The sequence below is a fragment of the Homo sapiens genome, chromosome 11, assembly GCF_000001405.40.
Source record: "Homo sapiens chromosome 11, GRCh38.p14 Primary Assembly".
NCBI classification, from domain to species: domain Eukaryota; kingdom Metazoa; phylum Chordata; class Mammalia; order Primates; family Hominidae; genus Homo; species Homo sapiens.
In genome coordinates, this window is record NC_000011.10 from 20,754,105 (window position 1) to 20,775,741 (window position 21,637).

The following is a 21,637-nucleotide window of genomic DNA, read 5'->3' on the forward strand; positions in this document are numbered from 1 at the left end:
GGGTGAGTGGTGGATCTCCAGAGGAAAATCACTGTGTAGCTACCAAAAAAGAGGGAGTACATGACAAGCAGGAAAAATAAATTCAAGTACCTCCAGGTTCTGGACTAAGTTATCTATTGCTATCTCACAGACAAGTTGACTTTGATTTCAGTAGGGCCTTTAACAGTGTCTCAGAAATAAGACAGTTAAATGTGAGCGTGTTGATAATATAGTTAGGCAGATTTATAGTTTACTGAACAAACATATCCTAAGAATGTTGATTCATGAATTGATGTTGACCTGAAGGATGAACCCTAGGGCCATGCTATGTGGTTTGTATATATAATTTCTGGGCTGACATTTCTCATCAGCAACTTGCACGAACACGTCACAGTTGTATTTGTCAAATGTTTAGGTCACCTGCTCCTAGAATTTTGGGTTTCACAGTCTTGGAAAATTGTAGAAAAAATTATTTAGGAAATTATGCAGGGTCTCCAACTTTTTATTTTTGCCAAGGAAGGATGTACATATATTAACTGTGATCTATTCATTTCACTAACATTTTACTAAGATATGACATTTTAATATTTAAAAAAGTATATGATGTCATAAGAAAAGACAGTTCCAAGAAAGGAAATTTGGCTGCCTTATACTGACATTAAAATAAAATAATGTAATGGATATAACACAAACAATCGTAACATAAGAATTCAATTTTCAAAATTACAGTGAATCTCATTTCTGTAATTTTCTCTCTGAAGATTTGTCATTTGGAGATCATAGACTGGAGCCTTAATGTTAGCCTGTGGATTTGATTGTCTTTTAGACTTAGTGAAAAGTTCAGGTCCATATAGCTCTGCTGACAAAAATAGAAGAACCACACTCTTAATGCTGTTTTATTCAATTCAAATATTTCGCATTATACAGAGAGTGGTTGAGAAACAACTTCCCCAACCCCAAGCCACATACATGTACATATCTGGCCTGACTCATCATCAGCCGTTTCTGCTCCCTCCTTTTCCCTGCAGGGGAGGGAAGAAGCTGTGGTACCCGGCAGTAAGATGTGCGGGAAGTATGATAGGGGGCGCTGTTACTTAGAGGGCTGCTCTCACCTGAGTGCTCAGGTAAAAACCCAGCTCATTTTGACTGAAGCAGGCAGAAAACTAGCTGAGAGAATGCTGCCAATCACCAGCATCCTGGATCCAGTTGTAGTCGCCTATTTGGGAGCTGCTGCTGGAAGTAATGAAGAGCTGAGAGAAATTGCTCCTTCACTGAATGTTAGAACCAAGCCTCTCATTTCATTATCTCCATGGACTGTAACCAGAAACCAAAACTGAAAGGATGGAATTTCATAGGGGTTAATATAAAGTTCTTCCAAGGGGTCTAACACCTCAGCTGTACAACAACAAGCCAAACTTGAGAGCATTTCATGTAAAAAAGACCTGTGTGGGTTTTTGTTTTTTTTTGTTTTTGTTTTTGTTTTTTTTTTTTTGAGACAGAATCTGGCTGTTACCCAAGCTGGAGTACAGTGGCACGATCTCAGCTCACTGCAACCTCTGTCTCCTGGGTTCAAGCGATTCTCCTGCCTCAGCCTCCCGAGTAACTGAGATTACAGGCATGAGCCACCAGGCCTGGCTAATTTTTCTATTTTTAGTAGAGATGGGGTTTCACCATGTTGGCCAGGCTGGTATTGAACTCCTGACCTCAGGTGATCCACCCACCTTGGCATCCCAAAGTGCTGGGATTATAGGCATGAGCCACCACGCCCAGCCAGACCTGCGGTTTTTTTTTTTTTTTTTTTTTTTTTTTTTTTTTTTTTTTTTTTATGAGACGGAGTCTCGCTCTGTCTCCCAGGCTGGAGTGCAGTGGCGTGATCTCGGCTCACTGCAAGCTCTGCCTGCCGGGTTCATGCCATTTTCCTGCCTCAGCCTCCCGAGTAGCTGGGACTACAGGTGCCCGCCACCACACCCGGCTAATTTTTTGTATTTTTAGTGGAGACGGGGTTTCACCGTGGTCTCGATCTCCTGACCTCGTGATCCGCCTGCCTCGGCCCCCCAAAGTGCTGGGATTACAGGCGTGAGCCACCGCGCCTGGCCAGACCTGCATTGTTTAATCGAGTCAAGTTCAATATGATCCAGAGGAGTCTATGTCATCTATCTTAGGCCACCTGAATAGGGACATAATGTCCAGATCATGGGAGATGATAGTTGCACTAGAGCAGAGTTACTGATATTTTAGGTCAGATAATTCCTTTTTTATTTATTTATTTTTTTGAGATGGAGTCTCACTCTTTCGCCCAGGCTGGAGTGCAGTGGTGCTATCTAGGCTCACTGAAAGCTCCGCCTCCTGGGTTCACGCCATTCTCCTGCCTCAGCCTCCTGAGTAGCTGGGACTTATAGGCACCTGAGATGGCGCCGGGCTAATTTTTTGTAATTTTTTTTTTTTTTTTTTTTTTTTTTAGTAGAGACAGGGTTTCACCATGCTAGCCAGGATGGTCTGGATCTCCTGACCTCGTGATCCGCCCACCTTGGCCTCCGAAAGTGCTGGGATTACAGGCGTGAGCCACCACACCAGGCCAGAAAATTCTTTTTTGATGGGGTCTATCTTATGCTTTGTGCATTAACAGCATCCCGGGCCTCCACCCACTCACTGCCGGTAGGTTCCCCCAGATGTGGCAACCAAAATATTTCCAGATACTGCCACATATCCCTGAGAGAGGGGGGAAATGCCTCTAGTTAAGAACCATTGCACTAGACTCCATAGTGGAGCTCGTATTCAGTTCTGGGCAATGCATTTTACGAGGAAAATTCACAAACTGGTAAAGTCCAGAGGAATTGCATGGACCAGGGTGAGATGTATGAACACCATATCACTAGTATATTGGAGGAACTAAGACTGTTCAGACTGGAAGAGAACAGACTCTGGTGGTGGTGATAGAGATAGATGTTGGGGAAGGATATCCCAGCTTTACCTCCATCCTTCCTTCTCTTTCTTCTTTCTCTCCCAACTTTTTTTCTCTGTAACTCCTTTCTTTCTTCCCCTTTCTCTTTTCTCTGGCTTCATTTTCCTTTACACTTAGTTTTTTTTTTTTAAATATAATTTTAAAATTGTGATACCATATATATATGTACCATTCAGTGACATTAATTACATTCACAATGTTGTGCAATAATCACCACTATTTCCAAAATTTTTTATCACCCCAATCAGAATTCACTCAGTTTTATCTTCCTACCCCATCACTGGGTATAGAGAGACTTCTCCTGGCTGCCTTACTATAATCCCCCACCTTGGGTAAATTCCACCATCCATGCTCAGTAGGAATGGTGAGACTCAGCTGCTTACAGCCTTTCAAATTTCTATTAGCCAGCTTTAGCTGGACTCTTATTATCTTCCTTTGGTGCTTATATATCCCAAATGCTTTCTGACCCTATATACATACCAGAGCATCTGTTTCAAACCTTTCCATTTTTCTTATTTGGCTCACTCTTTTACTGCCCATAACCTTGCCTTTATCTCAGTAAAAATTTAGGTTATGTGAAATGAGTTTCCTTAACTCTTTTTTCCTCTGGAATTCCACCGTCATCACCTCTCTTCTCATCCTTTAGGCTCAGCCTCTGAGAGCCATGTGATTGTCTTCCTTTCTAAACCGATTTTACCTAAGCCCATGGAATCTCCTGCCTCCAAAACCTGATTTGAGAGCCATGTTCTCCTTTTTTTGCAATTTTGGTATGTTCCTTCTATTTCCTCTTAACATGCTGTCTTAGTCAGCTTAGGCTGCCATAACAAATCATAGAACTTGATGGCTTAAACAACAGAAATTTAACAGTTTTAGAGGCTGAGAAGTCCAAGATTAGGGTTTCAGCATGGTCAGGTTCTGGTGAGAACCTTCCCCCTGGTTTGCAGATAGCCTCCTCCTTGCTCTATCTTCACATGGCAGAGAGAGAGGGGCCAAGCTCCCTGGTCTCTTCTTGTAAGGGCACTTATTCCATCACGACGGCTTTGTCTAACCTAATTACCTTCCAAAGGCCTTGTCTCCAAATACCATCATATTGAGGGCTTCAACATACGAATTTTGGGGTGATGGAATTCTGTCCCTGCCTCCTAAAATTCAAAACATCCCTTCACCCTGATATCCCCTTATACTGTCACTAATCTCCCTCTTCTCCAGGTCATACTCTAAGCTGTGGCAGGCATTGTCCTCCCACGAGACCCATCATGGTGTCGCCTGATTCAGAATGTGTCCTGTGGCCTAATAAATCCAAACTCCTTAGCATGACATTTGAGAACTTCCATGAATCTGGCTCCAAACCACTTTTCTCATCTTCCACTACATCACGCTCCTGATTCTAAGTTCTTCCTATCCTACTGACCCTTAGTGTATGCTAAGCTAAGGAGAGGCATTTTGAGTTAGAACCAACTGACAATAGAGAGAGGTTGTATCAGGGGTAGTGAGTGCCTGTCCCTGAAAATGTTCAAACCAAAGCCAGGAAAACAATCCCTCAGAGTTATTGTAGAGAGAATTCCCAAAGTAGTGGGAAGATGGTTAGAGGTCCTCTCAGGCCAGATTTCTTAGTGTTGGTACTTGACATTTGAGGCTAGATAATTCTTTGTTGTGGGGAGCTATCCTGTGCATTGTAGATGTTTAGCAGTATTCTTGACTGCTACTCACTAGATTACAGTAGTGCCCCTAAGTGGTGGGAATGATAAATGTCTCAAGACATTGCCAGATGTCCCCTGGGGGCAAAACTCAGTTGAGGATGACTGTTTTAGAGTCTCTTCTATTAATAAGAATCTGTAACATTTTGTTCTTCTATTTTCTAGGTAATAAGTACTTAAAAAATTGGTGGAAGTACCTAAGGTTGGGAGAATGAAGGGAAAGATGAGAAGGAACTGATGTTCGTTGAGCCTACCATATACCACGAAAATCTGTGAGATAGAGAATTTTATCCCATCTTACAGATGAGGAACTTGAGGCTCAGAAAAATTATGCAGCTGTTAAGCAGTGTAGCTAAGTCCCAAATGTGGACCTGCCTGACAAACTCTGTCTTCCTCTACTTTCCTCTTGCTTTTATCTAAATGTATCTCCATTGCTTTTAACTCAACTCTTACATTAACCTGCCTCCCTTTATGAACTACACATTTAAAATTTGGGAGTATTTTGGTATTTGCTTCTTGTAATTAACTTTTCCATAGAGCCTTGGCTCAACACTCTCCTATAGGGCTGACCTGGAGTCTCAGACATTGAAAGGATCCATGGTCCACGTGGAAGAAGAAGATCACATTGAAATGCTGTACACTTCTACTTAATGCTGCTAATGGTTTGTTGTGAGACTCAGTGTCACCAGGATTCACAAACCCGTGAATACCAATGGAACTACAGTATTGCTAATAACCATAAAACATCTATTCTTGCATCATTCTGTCCAAGCATAACCTCTCGTGTTTTGTGCGTCATCTCAGGAATCTAAGTCTTTCTGGGGTTCCTTCTAGGGCATCTCACCACTCAGTCCGACAGCTTCATCCACCACTGGGCAGGTTGTTCTCTCTTCTCAACTCTGGCCAGTTCAAGAAGCTGCTGGAGGAGGTTTGTCATTGCCAGGGCTGATAGAATCCTCTCTAAATCACCACCTCTGTCCAGGGTGCTGCGCCTGATTGGCCTCCAGAGATGCAGGTCTTTAGAGATACTGTTGGAGACAGAGGTGTCCTCCCCACTTTGACCAGAATCCAGCCCTCTGGGGGAGCAGAGTGTTCCTGGGTCCAGAAGGACTCTTACTCCAATTACACCACACTTTGTTTCCTGGACTCTATCCCTGCTTTGCCCAGAATCCACAGAATCTCTTAAGGAACTATCCTGTCTCCTGTGTGTTCTTATACCTCTAAACATAGTGGCTCCAACCCTGCCCAAAGGCCTGGGGAGGAGAGAGAGATACTTCATTCTCTCCCTACAGGCTACTATCATAATGAAAAAAGAGAAACACTCCCTTTCCTCTCCCCAGATGCCAAACAAAGGTCTCAGAACATATAGCGGCTATATGGTGTGGGTTGGGAGGTAGGTTGCTTACAGCTATAGCACTGGGCCTCAACTTAGCTGGCCACCATGCCCTCTTAGGCAAATGAAAAGAGGAGATTGACACTAGATTGGAGAAATGCCAACATTTTTGCACCATCAGTGAAAGATTTCAGCTGGAGTGTATGTAGCCGTAATGTTGTTCTCAAGTGTGTTTAACTCATCCTTTTGGTTGACTTAACTAGTGTGGCTGGTCCAATTCTCTGCTACTCAGTCTGTGTCCAGGATGCCACTGATCAGCCAGCTTTAGAGTTGTGAAAGGAGAGCCCAAGAGACATTTGGGTACACACTGGTACTGGCACAAATGCAGATTACTAATAGTTTTATGTTCCAGACCATGAGCCCCTAGACTTTTTCTGGGAAAAGTGAATCTAATGACTGTTGTAGTTTCTCTGTCCTCAAGGGCATGGATGGAAGAAGGCACATGGAGTGTGTCCAGCCAGTGGAGGACAGAGAGGGAATGATTAATTAGGGCTTACGGTGATGGATGTCAGCTCCTAGATCTATCAGGCAAGACCTTGAGATTTCCATCTGGGATTCTTTGAAATAAAAATAAGATTTCTTAGGATTTCAAGCAAGATTGGTATAGGCATACATTCAGCTAGTTTGGAAATCTTTTTATCTTTCTACTTTATTTTTACCACTAAATCTGAAGTATGGTGCCTAATCCCATTTGACTGTGTCTGTTAAAGATTTAAATGCCACTGCCAGATTCCCAGGTCTCACTTGGCCCCTTTGGAAAATCGGGTCTGGTGGAAGGAAAACTCGGCCCAACATCTCTAAATGCGCAGCTTCTCAGAGTGCCAAAAGCCGCTATTGTGTGCTGTCCCGCGGGTATAAAAATTAGCTCTTTTTCATGAGTGTTCAAGCTGCTGCCTTATTTATCTGCCAAAGATTCAGACTCATCTTGCTGTCCAAACTGCAGGCATGTCTGGCATGAGAGTGTGTTTGAGGTTGTGAGGTGGTGGAGGAGGAAGAATTTTATTTTGCATCTGCACATAACCACTGTTGGGTTGCCTGTTGTCATGAAGTGTCAATGGTAAGGTGCAGTTTAACATAACATGACATTAGGTTAGACAATGTGACTAAACTCACCCCCTCAGGAACTATAGCCTCAATACAGTAGCCAGTCACTTGGGCTTAAGACTTGTTCTAGTGGATACAAGCAGTCACAGTTCAAGGCTACCTGGCGTCTTGGAGCACCTGCACTACCTGGGTGAAGAGAAAAAAAATGTGGAGTTGCAGTCTTCAGAAATAGTTACCAGTGTGCATCTGCACAGTAAACTTATGAAAATACAACATACGCTTCAAGCTTTTTGCATTCTGCTTTTCTTGAGAATACCAGGGTTCATTTTCTTGAGGAATGTCAGAAATATTTTGTAGTCTCAGCTTAATCTTAGATTTGTTTGTAAAGCTCCACAAACAAACCCACAACTTGGGAAGTTTGGCAAATGCTCAGTCCAGGAGATCTAAATCTTGACTCAGTTCTTCAAGTTTTAGCGAAGGAATGACTTTAAAATGTCTTCTTGCTTTTACATATTTTGAAACAAACTCTGGGAGAAAATGTATTTGGAAGGGATCTTGGAAGCTAGCTGGTTTTGCATGTGTGATAAAACAAGATGCTTATAGGTTTGCTTTAAAAAAATAAAACCTCGAAACTTGAAGTCTGATATCCCTGGGGCCATTTGATAAATGTTGATGGTTTTGCAGAGCCACACATTATTTCCTTTTCCTTTTCACATTTATTTCTTTGAAAGACATACGAGAGTCTGAACTTTGAAGGGACCTGGTAGCCTTTGCTAAGAAAAGGAAACTTCTCGGGAGAGAACCTTGTGAGTGCCTTAAATATCTTTCCAGGTGGGCACCATCACATGAGTGATTTTTCCGATGTAAAGTTGCCCACTTTGTGGATTAGTCTGTGGTCTGACCATGTCTCTTAGAGTCAATTGTTTGATGTGTTGTTTCAAGCCAGGTTCATATGGAGCAGAGTGCCCTTTGGTTTTTTATTTGTTCCCTAATTGTTTAGAAATGTGCTCATTAAAAGACAAAGTAAACACGGTTCAGGTGTTGTGCTGAAGGCAGGGATTGTGGGGTATTGCGAGGGAGACAGGAGAGATGAGAGAACACACGTGGTCCTTCTTTTAGATAAAAGCCTGTCCCAGAAACAAAGGCTGTTGGAATACAAAAGCTCTTTGTACACTGAGCACGTCTGCGGTTACGGATGAACCCTCTCCAATGGCTGCTATCAAACTTGTCATATTTTATTCATGAGTTGTGGTGTGCCTGGATGAAATAAGAAAAGCAAAGCTTCAAATCATAATTAGGGCATAAAAAAGATAAAATAGTTATTATTTTGACATTTTTGAAGAATTTTTAAATCTCCCCGATAATTCATTTGAAAAAGTTGCATGGAACGACTGGGTGTGTGGCATGTATTTATGCTGGTTGGAGTCTCAGTCACACCCATACCCACAGTGACAGACTCCATGCGTATGGTGAATAAGAGCGTAATTAAGGAGAGGGCTACAGCCATCGTTACACATAAATAGAAACGTTGACAGGCATCTTTGCATTTCTCACGCTCACATTATTATTCTGTGGTTGATCAAAATATTGCTTTCCTGTTTTTTACATTTTTGTCTTTTTTAGAGAACATGGGGTCTGGATCATTTGGTATGCCTGGTATGGGGGGACTTGAGGGAATAGTGGCAGGAAAAACTTAAAAGTATACCTGCACCTACAGATGTTGTGGGACAGCAGCACGGGGTTGAAGAAAGACACTCGTCCTGTTGGTTTACATCATGAATTTTTAAAAGTAAGCCGAAACACTTTAAAAAAAGATACGCCAACCTTACTGGAAAGACAAAAAAGCCCAACTGTTGTTCCATGGCTTTCTCTGTGGATGCAGGGCTTAGTGACTCCTCATTTATTGACTAACTTACCCGGAGACACCTATCACCCACACCATCCATATGCTCATGGCCTCTCTCCTCCCTGGGGATTCGGCGTGAGGTATTTATTTACTCAGGGTTTATCTTTGTCCTGCTGGGGTCTATCCACCCATTCTCACTGCTGGGTTGTAAGCTATTTGAGAAGCGTGGTAAGAGCAAGCCCTCCCACTGTAGCCACCGCATGTACCCAGCCTGCATGGGGTTGTCCTACCCTGGCACTCAGGCATGGAGGAAAGTGAGAGCGACATTTTCAAAACTGGTCATGTGCATGATCACATGTGTTAATATTTGTTGTGTGGATTCTGGGATAGAAATATTCTCATTAGTCACCACTTTATGAAGGAGACACCAAGATTCAGAGGGATTAAATGACCACCCAGATATTAGTGTTGGAGTATTAAATATCACCCAGATACTAAGTGGCAGGACTGATGGTGCATCCCAGATCTTCTGATCCCCAATTCTACTTCAACACTGGACCACGTTCTGTGACCTTTTTCATATCATGACACATAAGGAAAATGGCTGTATTTGTACATTACACGGAAGGAAAGAGAAGGGACTGTTTTTATGCCAAAAGTGCTCTGCCGAGCCACAGCGAGGGCTGAGGGACTCATACTACAGTGACACCTGTAACTCAGGCCCTGGCAGGCCAGCTGAGAAGCACCAGGGTGAGGCTGGCGAGCCTAGAGGGGCTGGGAAGAACCTGGAAGGGCAGGAATGGAGGGGGTTTGTGTGGGGCCTGGGTGAGTGTGTGTAGTATTAGCATAAGTTAGAGATGTGCTGGGGAGGGTCTTCAATCCCAGGTGCATAGGGGGCCAGCCAGGTAACAGCTGAGTGATGTGCACTGGCAAGGTAATGCAGCCAACTGGCAACATTGTGCCATGAGCTGCATTTCTTCAACTCTGCATTCACTGCACTGTTGCCTGTGGGAATATGGGCTCTGCGTTGCCAGGTCATCTAATTTTTTAATGGAGATTTGAATTTTTATATGAAATGTTTCAATTTTTATGCTGTATTTCACTGATTCCAAGGCACACACACTTATTCACATAACAGCTATCCAGAACTTTTTTATTTTGCAAACTGAAATGCTATATCCATTAAATAATAACTATATTTTAGGGTAGGATTGGATTTTGCCTTATAGGCAATTGGTATAATTATGTAATAAATTACATATGTGTTACAATTATGGTGTCTCTTATAATCAACAGCTTTTTGTTTATTTCTTAGGGTATGTCAAATGATGGTGTATTTTATAATCTATGGCACTGTGGACTTGGTGAAATATGGTGGGTTGGGTGAGTAACACTGGGAGCTACACCAACATGCTGAGGCTGCATCTGGCCTGAGGCTGGTCAGTATGCTACTTTTGACCTGGAGCCAGGATAGTCACCAAGATACCAAGACCTGAGGCTGGGACACCAGTTCTCAGCTGTGACTGCCCATCATGTTTATTTGAAACAAATAAATAAATATTGACACCTGGCCTACACCCCAGACCTTTTTTTTTTTTTTTGAGTCTCTCAGGGTGCAGACTGAAAATCACATTTAAAAAATGTTACCCAGGTGATTCTGATGCACAGTGAGTGCTGAGAACTGCTCAGCTGGAGGGAGTTGGGAGGAGGAAAAGGTGAGATGTTGAGTCTGTGTTCACAAAAGGCTGAGGGGGAAGGAAACTACACGTGAGAGTCAGGTATTTGTTGATCTTGTTGACCAAAATCTCCAATCAAGGAATGAGAACTGGGGGCTGCTGTTTAAATTGGAATGAGGGCTGGGAAGGATGACTCATGCCTGTAATCCCAGCACTTTGGGAAGCCAAGGCAGGAGGATCACTTGAGGTCAGGGGTTCAACACCAGACTAAGCAACATAGCAAGATGTCTCTACAAAATTTAAAAAATTAGCCAGGCAGGATGACAGATGACCATAGTCCCAGCTACTTCGGAGGCTGAGGTAGGAGGATTGCTTAATCCCAGGAGTTCAAGGCTGCAGTGAGCTATGAACATGCTATTGCACTCTAGCCTGGGTGACAGAGCAAGACCCTGTCTTTGTTAAAAAAAAAAAATAAAATGAGGCAGATACAGGAGAAATTCTAATGCTACTGTATACTGTAGGCATTGTACTTGCATGGTAGGTTTAGGGACAACGTACAGATAGCTTCAGAAAGGCTTAATTTTCTAGGTTCATACAGGTTCAGAAGGGATTACCAAGGATTACCAATGGATTACCAGTCATCCATCCATCCATTTCTCCAATGTCCTTCAGTACCTGCTCTTTGTGCTATGTGTGGCACCAGACACCACAGCACAGTGGTGAGCTTCCATGCAGCCTCACACTAGGATAAGCCCAAAGAAGGAAAAGCTGTGGTATGGTAATTAACATAGACCAGGAGGCCTGCTTTAGCTGGGGGCTGGGGTCTAGGGAAATGACGTTTCAGCTGAAGCCTGAGTGATGAATGGCAGGTAACCAGGTATGGAGTGGGCGAAAGTGTGTTTCAGGCAAAATAATGGCCTGACCGGAGACCCTAAGGCAGGAAGGAGCTTGTGTATTAGTTGGTGGAATCTAAAGAAGGGCCAAGAAGGAGGCCAAGAAGGAGGGAAGAGGTGAGGTGGGAGTTGGGCCTGGTGAGGTCTATAGGAGTACATTGTGTAGAGTTTTGTTGGTCATATTAAGGGGATTCAATTTTTATTAAATTTGCATTTTTAATTGCAGATAAAAAAACACACAACATAAAATTGACCACTGTTACCATTTCCAAGTGTGCATTCCAGCAGTGTTAAGTATATTCATGGTGTATAACAGCTCTCCAGAACTTTTTTATTTTGCAAAACTGAAATGCTATATCCATTAAATAATAACTCCATATTTTAGGAGGATTGGATTTTGTCTTAGAGGCAATTGGGGTCATTGAAGGGTTTTGAACAAGGCAGTGGCATACGTAATCAGTTGTGACACAAGTATGTACCAGGAGCTGTAAGCACAGGTAAGCTGCACCTAAGCTATTCAAGGGAGTGAGGAAGGTGTAGGTAGACATCTCCATACTTCAGGATTGATGTCGAGAATGACCCTTCCCTGGGCCCCCTGTCAAAGCCCAAACACTGGGCTGGATGGCAGTAATAGTGCAGCACTTTATAGCAGTGAGAGGAGCAACTATTTTCATGTGAAGTCATGTCATTTCTACTCTAAACTGCAGGCAGGGTGAAAGCAGGGAGTGCAACCAGATAGTGCCTCAAAGAGGAAGGTCCTCATCTGACTGGGCATGAGCTGCTTGTTTTATTGGAAAGGAAAGACACAAGGTGGTTGGCATTCAGGGCGTGGCAAGGTTTTCCCCACCAACTGGCTTTTAGCCACATATTTTATGTATAATTTTGCCACAGCATCCTTTTTTGGTATTTCATTTAAACAGAAGATCTCACCATGATTAAAGAACTATCTAAACCCTCTAGTGTGTAATGGGGACAGGGCAAGGTTGAGAGAGCAACTTCCTGGGGTCCTGCTTTGAATCTCTCTTTTGTCAACATGTACTTTGGCATCCCTTCTCTCTCAATCTTTGACTGGATGGAGAAAAATCATTTCTTATTTTGAGCACTTACCTTTAAAGGAGGCTTTAAATCCTATTTCCTATTGACATATTTTTTTTTTTTTTTTGTTTCAGACAGAGCCTCATTCTGTTGCCCAGGCTGAAGTGCAGTGGCACAATCTTGGCTTACTGCTGCCTCTGCCTCTTGGGTTCAAGTGATTCTCCTGCCTCAGCCTCCCAAGTAGCTGGGATTACAGGCGTGCACCACCACGCCCAGTTAATTTTTTGTATTTTTAGTAAAGATGGGGTTTCACTGTGTTGGCCAGGCTGGTCTTGAACTCCTGGCCTCAAGTGATCTGCCTGCCTTGGCCTCCCAGACTGCTGGGATTACAGGTGTGAGCCACTGGGCACGGCTGCTGTTGACATATTGATCAATCACGATAGTCTGTTATGCTGCTGTGTGCCAGCCACTGTCCTGGTGTGTCTGTTGTTGGTTCCTTCAGGTGGGTTCTTGGTCTTGCTGACTTCAAGAATGAAGCTGCGGACCTTCGCGGTGAGTGTAACAGCTCTTAAAGGTGACATGGACCCAAAGAGTGAGCAGCAGCAAGATTTATTGTGAAGAGCGAAAGAACAAAGCTTCCACAGCATGGAAGGGGAGCTGAGTGGGTTGCTGCTGCTGGCTGGGGTGGCCAGCTTTTATTTCCTTATTTGTCCCCACCCACGTCCTGCTGATTAGTTCATTTTACAGATTGCTCATTGGTTCATTTTACAGAGTGCTGATGGTTGTGTTTACAATCCTTTAGCTAGACACGGAGCACTGATTGGGACGTTTTTACAGAGTGCTGATTGGTGCATTTACAATACTTTAGCTAGACATAGAGCGCTGATTGGTGCATTTTTACAGAGTGCTGATTGGTGCATTTACAATCCTTTAGCTAGACAGAAAAGTTCTCCAAGTCCCCACTCGACCCAGGAAGTCTAGCTGGCTTCACCTCTCACTGGGTCTTGATTATGTAAGAGTATGACAGACACCCTGTCCTTGAGGGGCTATTGGCCTAGGTACAGTGAAGAGGGAACCAGCAATATATCATATTCATTCATTCATTCATTCATTCATTCATGCACTCAACAAATATTTATTGCACATCATGTGACAGGCACTGTTCTGAGTGTTAAGGATGCAGCAGAGAAAAGACAGTCCCTGTCTACATGAAGCCTATATTCTAGCAAAGATGGCCAATGGCCAATCACAGTAAACAAGTATACTAATAAATGAGTAACTTTAGATTGTAATATATACTATGAAGGAAATATAAGAGCTATACTGGAGAGAGAAAGAGAGAGAGAGAGACTTAGGGGGAGAGTTGACTTTACATTGGGGAAGGCTTCCCCGCAGAGGTGACGTTTGAGCTGAAGCCTAAATGAAGGAGCCAGCCATGCAAAGATAATATTATTATTAATAATCACTCACATTATTAATGACGAACACTTCATATGCTAGGTACTATTCTAAATTCTTTATATTCATGAGCTCATTTAATCCTTATAACAATTGTGCAAAGGAGATAGGTATTATGAGCCACAGAAAGGAAAATAGAGGTTAAATCACTTGGCCAAGGTTATGTATAGGTCCAGTAAGCTGAGAGTTGAATCCAGGCTGTTGTGCTCCGAAGCCCTTGTTCTTGAAACAGCCAGCCAAAAGGCCCCTTGGATCAAACAAGTTTAAAGGGCACAAGGATGGCCCATGTGGGTGAAGCTACCAAAGGAGGCCAGAGAGCATAGCCAGGGCCTTTCAGGCCATGGCAAGGAGTTAGGGTTTTATTCAAATCATAATGGGCAGTGTGGAGAGCTGGATAATGCTGCCCTCCTTCCCAGTGATGGCCACATTCTAATCTCCATAACCTGTGACTATATTACTTCAAATGGTAAAAGGGACTTTGCAGATGTGATTAAGTTAAGGGTCTTGAGGTGAGAAGATTATCCTGGATTCCAGGTGGGGCCTGTGTAATCACAAGGGTTCTCATAAGAGAAAGACATGAGGATCGGATAGAAAAGTGATGTGAAGATGGAAGCAGAGAGAGATCATAAGATTCTATGCTGCTTGTGTTGGAGATGGAGGAAGAAGACACGACCCAAGGGAAGCTGAAAAAGGCAAGGAAACAGTCTCCCCTAGAGCTTCCAGAGGGAGTATGGCCGTGCCCCCATCTTGGTTTTTGTCCTGTGAAACCTGTTTCAGACATCTGACCTCCAGAACTGTAATATAATAAAATTGTGTTGCCTTAAGCCTCTAGGGTTGCAGTAATTTGTCACAACAGCCATAAGAAACTAATAAAGCAACTCTTTGAGGACTTTAAGTAAGGGATTGAGGTAATGTGATTTAAGTTTGAAAAGGATCTTCCTGATTTTCTGATTGCTACATGGGATAGAGAGAGAAAACGACAAAGACTAAGAGGAAAGGGGAAATGAGGAGAGGGGACAGGAGGGGAGGCGAGGAGAGACAAGTGGAGGCAAACTGACAGTGAGGGGCTGATGCAATATTCTAGTCAAGAAGATTGGGGGTCACAGTGGAAATGGAGCTCAGGGCTTGCTGATGGATGAATGTTCTTTGAGGCACTCTGACAAGTAAGACAGAAGGCAGAGGAGTGCACAATAAAGGAGCCTCTAGACAGCCCCGGAGGTAGGAGGACAACAGGAAGAATGCAGTGTCAAAAGGGCAGAATGTTTCAAAAGGAGGCAGAGCACGACTGTTTGGGAAGTTACCAAGGGTTCACTTAGTGGTCAGGCCACCGTCTGGCCATTAACTTTGGCACAATGTAGAGAATAAGATTTGTAAGAGTGGGTGGTATTGGTCAGTGCAGCTAAAAATACTGGCCAGATATTTCTCTCCAGACTGAGTCCATCTTAATCACCACAGTACAGAGCCTGGCACAGAGAACATACTCCACAAATACATCTTTGAATGGGTGAGTGATTGAATTTTGGATTCGAGGAGGAAAATCACCCTCAGCTGGGGTGCTAGAACTTCATGGAGTTAGAGGAATTGGGTTGGGCCTTGAGAGATGCGCAGGGCTTGGATAGGCACGGAGATGGCTGGAACTCTGGGAGGGAGAAGGGTTGAGATGTTGTCCCCACGGAGCCCCCCACTTGTGCCTGGCTGTGCTTCAGACCCTTCCCATGTCTTGCGCTCTGAGATCTGACAAGTACTCTAATTGGGGTTGCACAAGGATGAACTTACAACTACTCTTGGTATGGGTGGTTCAGGGAGCTGAAAAGAATATCTGTTGTCTAAGTTAGATGATACCCAAGTAGAAAAGACTGCGTGGGAGCCTACCAGCATCCTTTGAAATGAATTATCACAAAGTCTTTATTTAATACACTGAAGGAATAATTTATCGAAACAGATTCAATGTTCTTACCCTAGGACACGCAAGAACCAAATTATTTGCAACAATGATCAAAGACCAATTTTCCCCCAAATTGACATTTTCATTTCTTTTAAAAAAGCTTCAGTAAATGAGGATTATCATTTTAGCCCTCAGTTATGGCTCTCATTTGGAAGGGTTTGAGGTGGGAAATTGGTTGAGAAAGATCCTGCAGCCAGATAGCAACAGGCCGTGAGCTCAAGGAGCAAGTGGCATTTCCAGTGATTCATTTTAAGGGGGGACATTAATGTTTAATACAGTCAGAATAACATCTCTAAAGAGGAGGTCCATTTTTAAAGAAAAACAGCAAGTCTGCCAAAGGAAAAAAATCCACCACATCCATAGCCCCTTTTCTGGACAGATGCACACATTTCTTGGAGCTTCTGTTCAAAGCCTGGAGTTTCAGGTGACCTGTTTCCTGTCCGGAAAGCCTCACTGTCCTTCCTGAGCACAAGGTTGAAGGCTGATAATTGCATAGTTTCCCCAGGAACCTGAATGCACAAACACCCTGTGGCCAACACAGATAGATAAATAGTGAGGGAGACCTCCTCAGCAGTGACTCTGGAACTAATTAGCTAACAAGGCATGTAATTAGATTAATGCATGTGATCTAAGAGCTGATGATGTGCTTTTTAGGACAGTGGAAATAAAGGAGCTGAAAAGAAAGCATTATATTGAGGAGCTCTGAATTATTATTCCTGTCAGAAATACCAGCTGGGAGGGTGGGGTGGTGGTGAGCATGAGGGTAGCTATTCATCACTTAGTTCCTGCTGGTTCATCAGGGACTGACATTGCTTCATGACTCCTGGCTGCTGTGGAAAATAATTTTTCCCCTCCTTCTGATAGCAAGGTGAGAGGCTCCTGTATTATTTATTTGGCACACATTGTAGCCAGATCTGCACTGGACAGAGGGGTCTTTCCAGAAACAACCTGCACAGTTGTTTCTGGAAAGACCCCTCTAGCTTCCCCCCGGCTCTCTCCTTGGGCTCAACTGGAGAGAAGAAATTACATATTTGAAGCTTACTAAGCCCCCTCCATCTCCCCAAGTGCAGGCTTCTGCAATGCAGAGGGTCCCCCTCCCCAAGTACTGAGTCATGTCCCTCACCACTGACCTCTGGGACCCCAATAAAGCCAACTTTACTTCTCACTCTCCACTCCTTTCCTACTTCTCATTAATTCCTTTGCCTCCATCTGAGGTAATGCTGCCCTGTTGGTCCCTGAGTGTCAAATCTGTGCAGTTTCTGGGGTGAAATATTGCTGAGGCCACCAAAGTCATTTCTCACTGAGCCTCTGACAGTTTGCTAATTAATAAGATTTTGGTCATTGCATCCTATGCTGAAGTTGGACCAATTTCCCAGGGGTGGGAAGTCAGACATTAATCCACTAAACCAACTAAATTACTTGTGTGTGAGAGAAGACAATTTCTTCAGGAGTATTTTCCTGTGGTTTGACATATCGCTTTGCAGGCTATGGACTTTTAAAAGCACTTTCTAGTCTGATGACGGGGAAGCCTAGATTCCTGATAGAAAAGTCATATGATTAAGATACCCCAAGATACCTCTAAGTTCTAAAGATACTCTTAGAGCTGTTTGCGTATCATAGAGAGGGGATGCCAGCTCTATTTTGAAGCTGGGGAAAAATCTATCTGGTGCTGTTTTCTGTCAGGCTTAATACAAGCTTATTCAGAAGAGTGTGTCTTTCTGCTTCTGTGTGCCACAACTGTCTTTTTGCCCGCGGAGCCACAGGAGCTTACCTTTGAAACATTAGCTGTTCACCCTAGTAATTGCTCCATCCTCTAATTTAATGAAAACCCATTAAACCGAAACAATAATTAAAATGAGACATCATCTCTGTAGGAGGTTTGCATATTAAAATCACTGTGCCTTTCAATGCAGGCAGATTTTTATTCTTGAAAAACAGCATTTGAAGTAACATGTAAAAATGATTTATAATGAATAATCATAAATTACAGAGCTTGGCAGTTGAACATGATGCCCTACTGTTTACTATTGAATCTGAGTAGATGTGGCAAGGTCAGGGCCAATACAGCATTTAAAAATGTCTCTTTCATGCCTGAGAATTAGGACCGTGCACAAAAGGGAATGAATTATAATTAGATCAGCCCACCAAACTTTTAAAGCAGGCTAGAGATGACACCCTTAATATACAGAGTAGTTTAGACTCTGGGAGGAGGAGTGTTGCTACGTAGGGGAGGCATAGCATTGGAGTAGAGAAGTAATGATGCTCTCGTGTTGGGGACTAGGGAAGCCAAACAGAAATATACACAATAAGCTACAAAGTTGGAGTCAGAGACACATCTCTGCTACTTGCTAGAGGTGAGATCTTGGATAAGTCACTTATTTTCTATAAACCACAGATTCTTCATCTTTAAAGTGAGGCTATTAATGCCCATTTAATTGGTTTTATGAATTTGAAATACTATCATGTATATGAATATGCTTAGAAAATGTTAAAGTCCTGACTTTAATGTCTAGATATGGGCATTTTTTTAAAGCATCTCAGAAATGTCATAAGGTGCCTATTACCTAAATATTAGGCACTTTTCATTCATTCATTCATTCATTCATTCATTCCTGAACCCTGGAAGGTGAGTGTTACAGATGAGGCAACTCAAGGATGAAGGAAGGAAAACAGCTACCTAAGGTCTTACAGCAGGTACTTGGCAGAGCTGGGATTCAAACACTGGTTTGTCTGAGCCAATAGATGGTGCTGAGGGACAGTGGTGCCTTATGATTGGCTTTAGACAGATCTGGGTTTGAATTCCAGCTAGACTAGTTAGTAGAACACGTTTTAACTTTTTGTATCTCATCTGTAAAATGGAGATAGCAATGCTGACACCACTAGGCTGCTATGAGGATTAAATTAGCATATATAAAGTCCTTAGCTTGACATCTAGCAAAAATAAAAAATTCAGAACTGTTTGGAAATTGGCTGGCTGGACTTAGATTGGAGTGGCTGGAAGTCCCATAGTCTCTGCCCAATTTTCAATTTTTGTTTTAACAGAAAAGAGTTAGAACTGACCACTAACCATGCCTCCAACCCTGGCTGGCAACCCCTGCTCACCTGCTCAATGCTCTCCTGCTGGGCCACCATAACCAACCATCAGTGTGACCTTTACTTCAGCCCCAGCTGCAGCACCAGGGTTCTTTTGGCATGGTGGCTGCTGCCATAGCTTGGTACCCCACCCATCCTACAGGACCCAGGGCCTGTCCTGGCTGTATACCAAATAAGCTAACAGATGTCATGTGCTGCTTATGTGGAAGACAGTTTTGAGAGTTTAACATGTACTTATTGATTTAATCTTTATACTATCCCCATGGGTAGATGTGGTTTTATTCTCATTTGTAAAAATGAGGAAGCTGAGGCACAGAGAGATTAAATTATCCAAGGTTATATACTTGATAAGATGTGAAATTGGATTTTTTTTTTCTTTTTTTTTTTTAAGATGGAGTCTGGCTCTCTGTCACCCAGGCTGGAGTGCAGTGGCGCCACCTTGGCTTATTACAACTTCCTCCTCCCAGGTTCAAGTGATTCTCCTGCCTTAGCCTCCCAAGTTGCTGGGATTACAGGTACATGCCACCAGGCCTGACTAATTTTTGTATTTTTAGTAGAGATGGGGTTTTGCAATGTTGGCCAGGCTGGTCTTGAACTCCTGACCTTAAGTGATCTGCCTGCCTCAGCCTCCCAAAGTGCTGGGATTACATGCGTGAGCCACCACGCCCGGCTTGAAACTGGAATCTTAACCAAACAGTGAGGCTTCAGAGCCTGAGCTCTTAACCACTACCCTACATTGCCTCTTACCTGGAAGATTAAGTCCCTGATGAGGGACTCACTCTCTGGTCCTGCTCCAGGTGATTTCAGACCTATGATGACATGACCTAAACATGACCTTTTTTTCCCCTCTCTCTTTCTTCTCTTCTCTCTCTCCTTTCCTTCCCTCCGTTCCTTTTTTCCTCCCTCCCCTCCCCTCCTGTCCCCTCCCCTCCCCTCCTGTCCCCTTCCCTCCCCTCCTGTCCCCTTCCCTCCCTTCCTCCCTCCCTTCCTTTCTCCCTCCCTCCCTCCGTCCCTCCCTTCTTTCCTCCATCCCTCCCTCTCCCCTCCCCTCCCATCCCCTCCCCTCCCATCCAGTCCACTTACTTTCCCTCCCTCCTTCCCTTCCTTCCTTCCTTTCCTCCCCCTCTCCCATCTTCTCTTCTCTCCTTCCTTTCTTTCCCTTCCTTCCTTTTTTCCTCCCTCCCTTCCTCTCCTTTCTTTTTTTCTTTCCTTCTCTCCTCTCTCTCCTTTCTTTCTCTCTCTTCTTTCCTCCTTCTCTTTCTTTTCTTTTCCTTTCTTTCTTCTTAGAGATAGGGTCTTTCTCACTATGTTCCTCAGGATAGACTAGAATTCCTGGGCTCATGTTATCCTCCGTCTCAGCTTCCTGAGTAGCTGAGATTACAGGCATATGCTACCATGCCTGGCTCTACTTTTCTTATATCTCTGAACTGAAAAGCTGAGCAGGATCCATTCACTTTTGTTTGTGTCTTTATTACTAGACTTTTAGATCTTCATGAATAGAAGGTGTGTCTTAGTTTTTTGTCCACAGTGCTGGTTCAGGGAATGCTCAGTAAGGGTTTTTAAAGTTAAGAATGAATGAACAAATGAATAAATGAGCGGATGGGTGGTTAGCAGAGGGCAGGGCAAGGACTGCCCTCATGTCTTTATAAGAACATCGAGAGCATCTCTTGCTGGAACTGATGTTCTTGCTTGCACCCAGCAACCTTTGGTGCTTAGAGTTTTGTACACTATGTGATGAGTACACCTTGGGGTTCTCAGATTCTTGACAATCAGTGTGTATTAAAATGGCACCTGAGGAGGGTTGCTGGTCAGTTATTGCCAAAAAAAAAGAAAAAAAAACCCTGTTGTCCTCACTGATTTAAGGATACACAATTGTGGGACTGAAAGCAAGGTGATTGGTGCTTATTTTCTTCTTTTGTAGGATGTCCTTCTTGTTTCTCCCATTTCTATGATGAGCTCATATATTTTAGCATAAACATTGTAGTTTTTTTTCTTACAATAACTCTCAGAGAAGATTTGGAAAATTCAGACATGTGGAAAGAGGAAAAATTTCACCCATGTTAGCTCCCAATTGCTGACAAAATTGAAGGCCATGCCTATCTATCTGCTATGCATCACAAAATAAATTTTATGTTACCATAGACTTGGTATGATGCTGTATGTACTATTGTATACCTGTTTCAGAGTATTGGCTGGACATTTCCTATGTTATTTCAATGCCTTTCATATCATTATATTACAATATATAATTTTCCATGGGGTGTATATATCCTAATTTACTTAGCCATTCTCTACCATTGGATAGCTTCTTGACTATATAATGCACTCTTAATCGTATTATAAAAATCTTTTCACCACTCTTTTTGCTTTTTGTTCTCCTGTCTTGTGATTCAGATGGAGCTGGCATTCATACTTTAACTCTCTCTTTATTCCTGTGTTTCTCACTGAGATGCGGTGGGAGGTATGGGGATGAGGGGGATGGGGATAAGGGGACTTGATTGCTGGTGGGTGGCAGTGTGGAGAGGCAGCCTAAAGAGGAGTGGCTACACATGTTTAATTTCTTAGCAACAGGGAATGCATTGATTTTCCTACTAGTATTGTCAAATGTTTTTAAGA

The 21,637-nt window shown here is 43.1% G+C and overlaps 1 protein-coding gene across 4 annotated transcripts in view, besides 1 other annotated feature; it reads left to right on the top strand.

The window, feature by feature from the left end:
* Positions 1-21,637, top strand: part of NELL1 (neural EGFL like 1) — a 906,136-nt gene that overhangs the window by 84,554 nt on the left and 799,945 nt on the right. The gene's annotated exons all lie outside the window — the stretch shown is intronic.
* Positions 11,988-12,198: a silencer, noted in NCBI's record as "fragment chr11:20787638-20787848 (GRCh37/hg19 assembly coordinates)". NCBI's record gives its function as "represses an EF-1alpha promoter that drives an FKBP-Casp9 reporter gene in an ReSE screen in HepG2 liver carcinoma cells {active_cell/tissue: HepG2}" and the evidence as "EXISTENCE:reporter gene assay evidence [ECO:0000049][PMID:32094911]".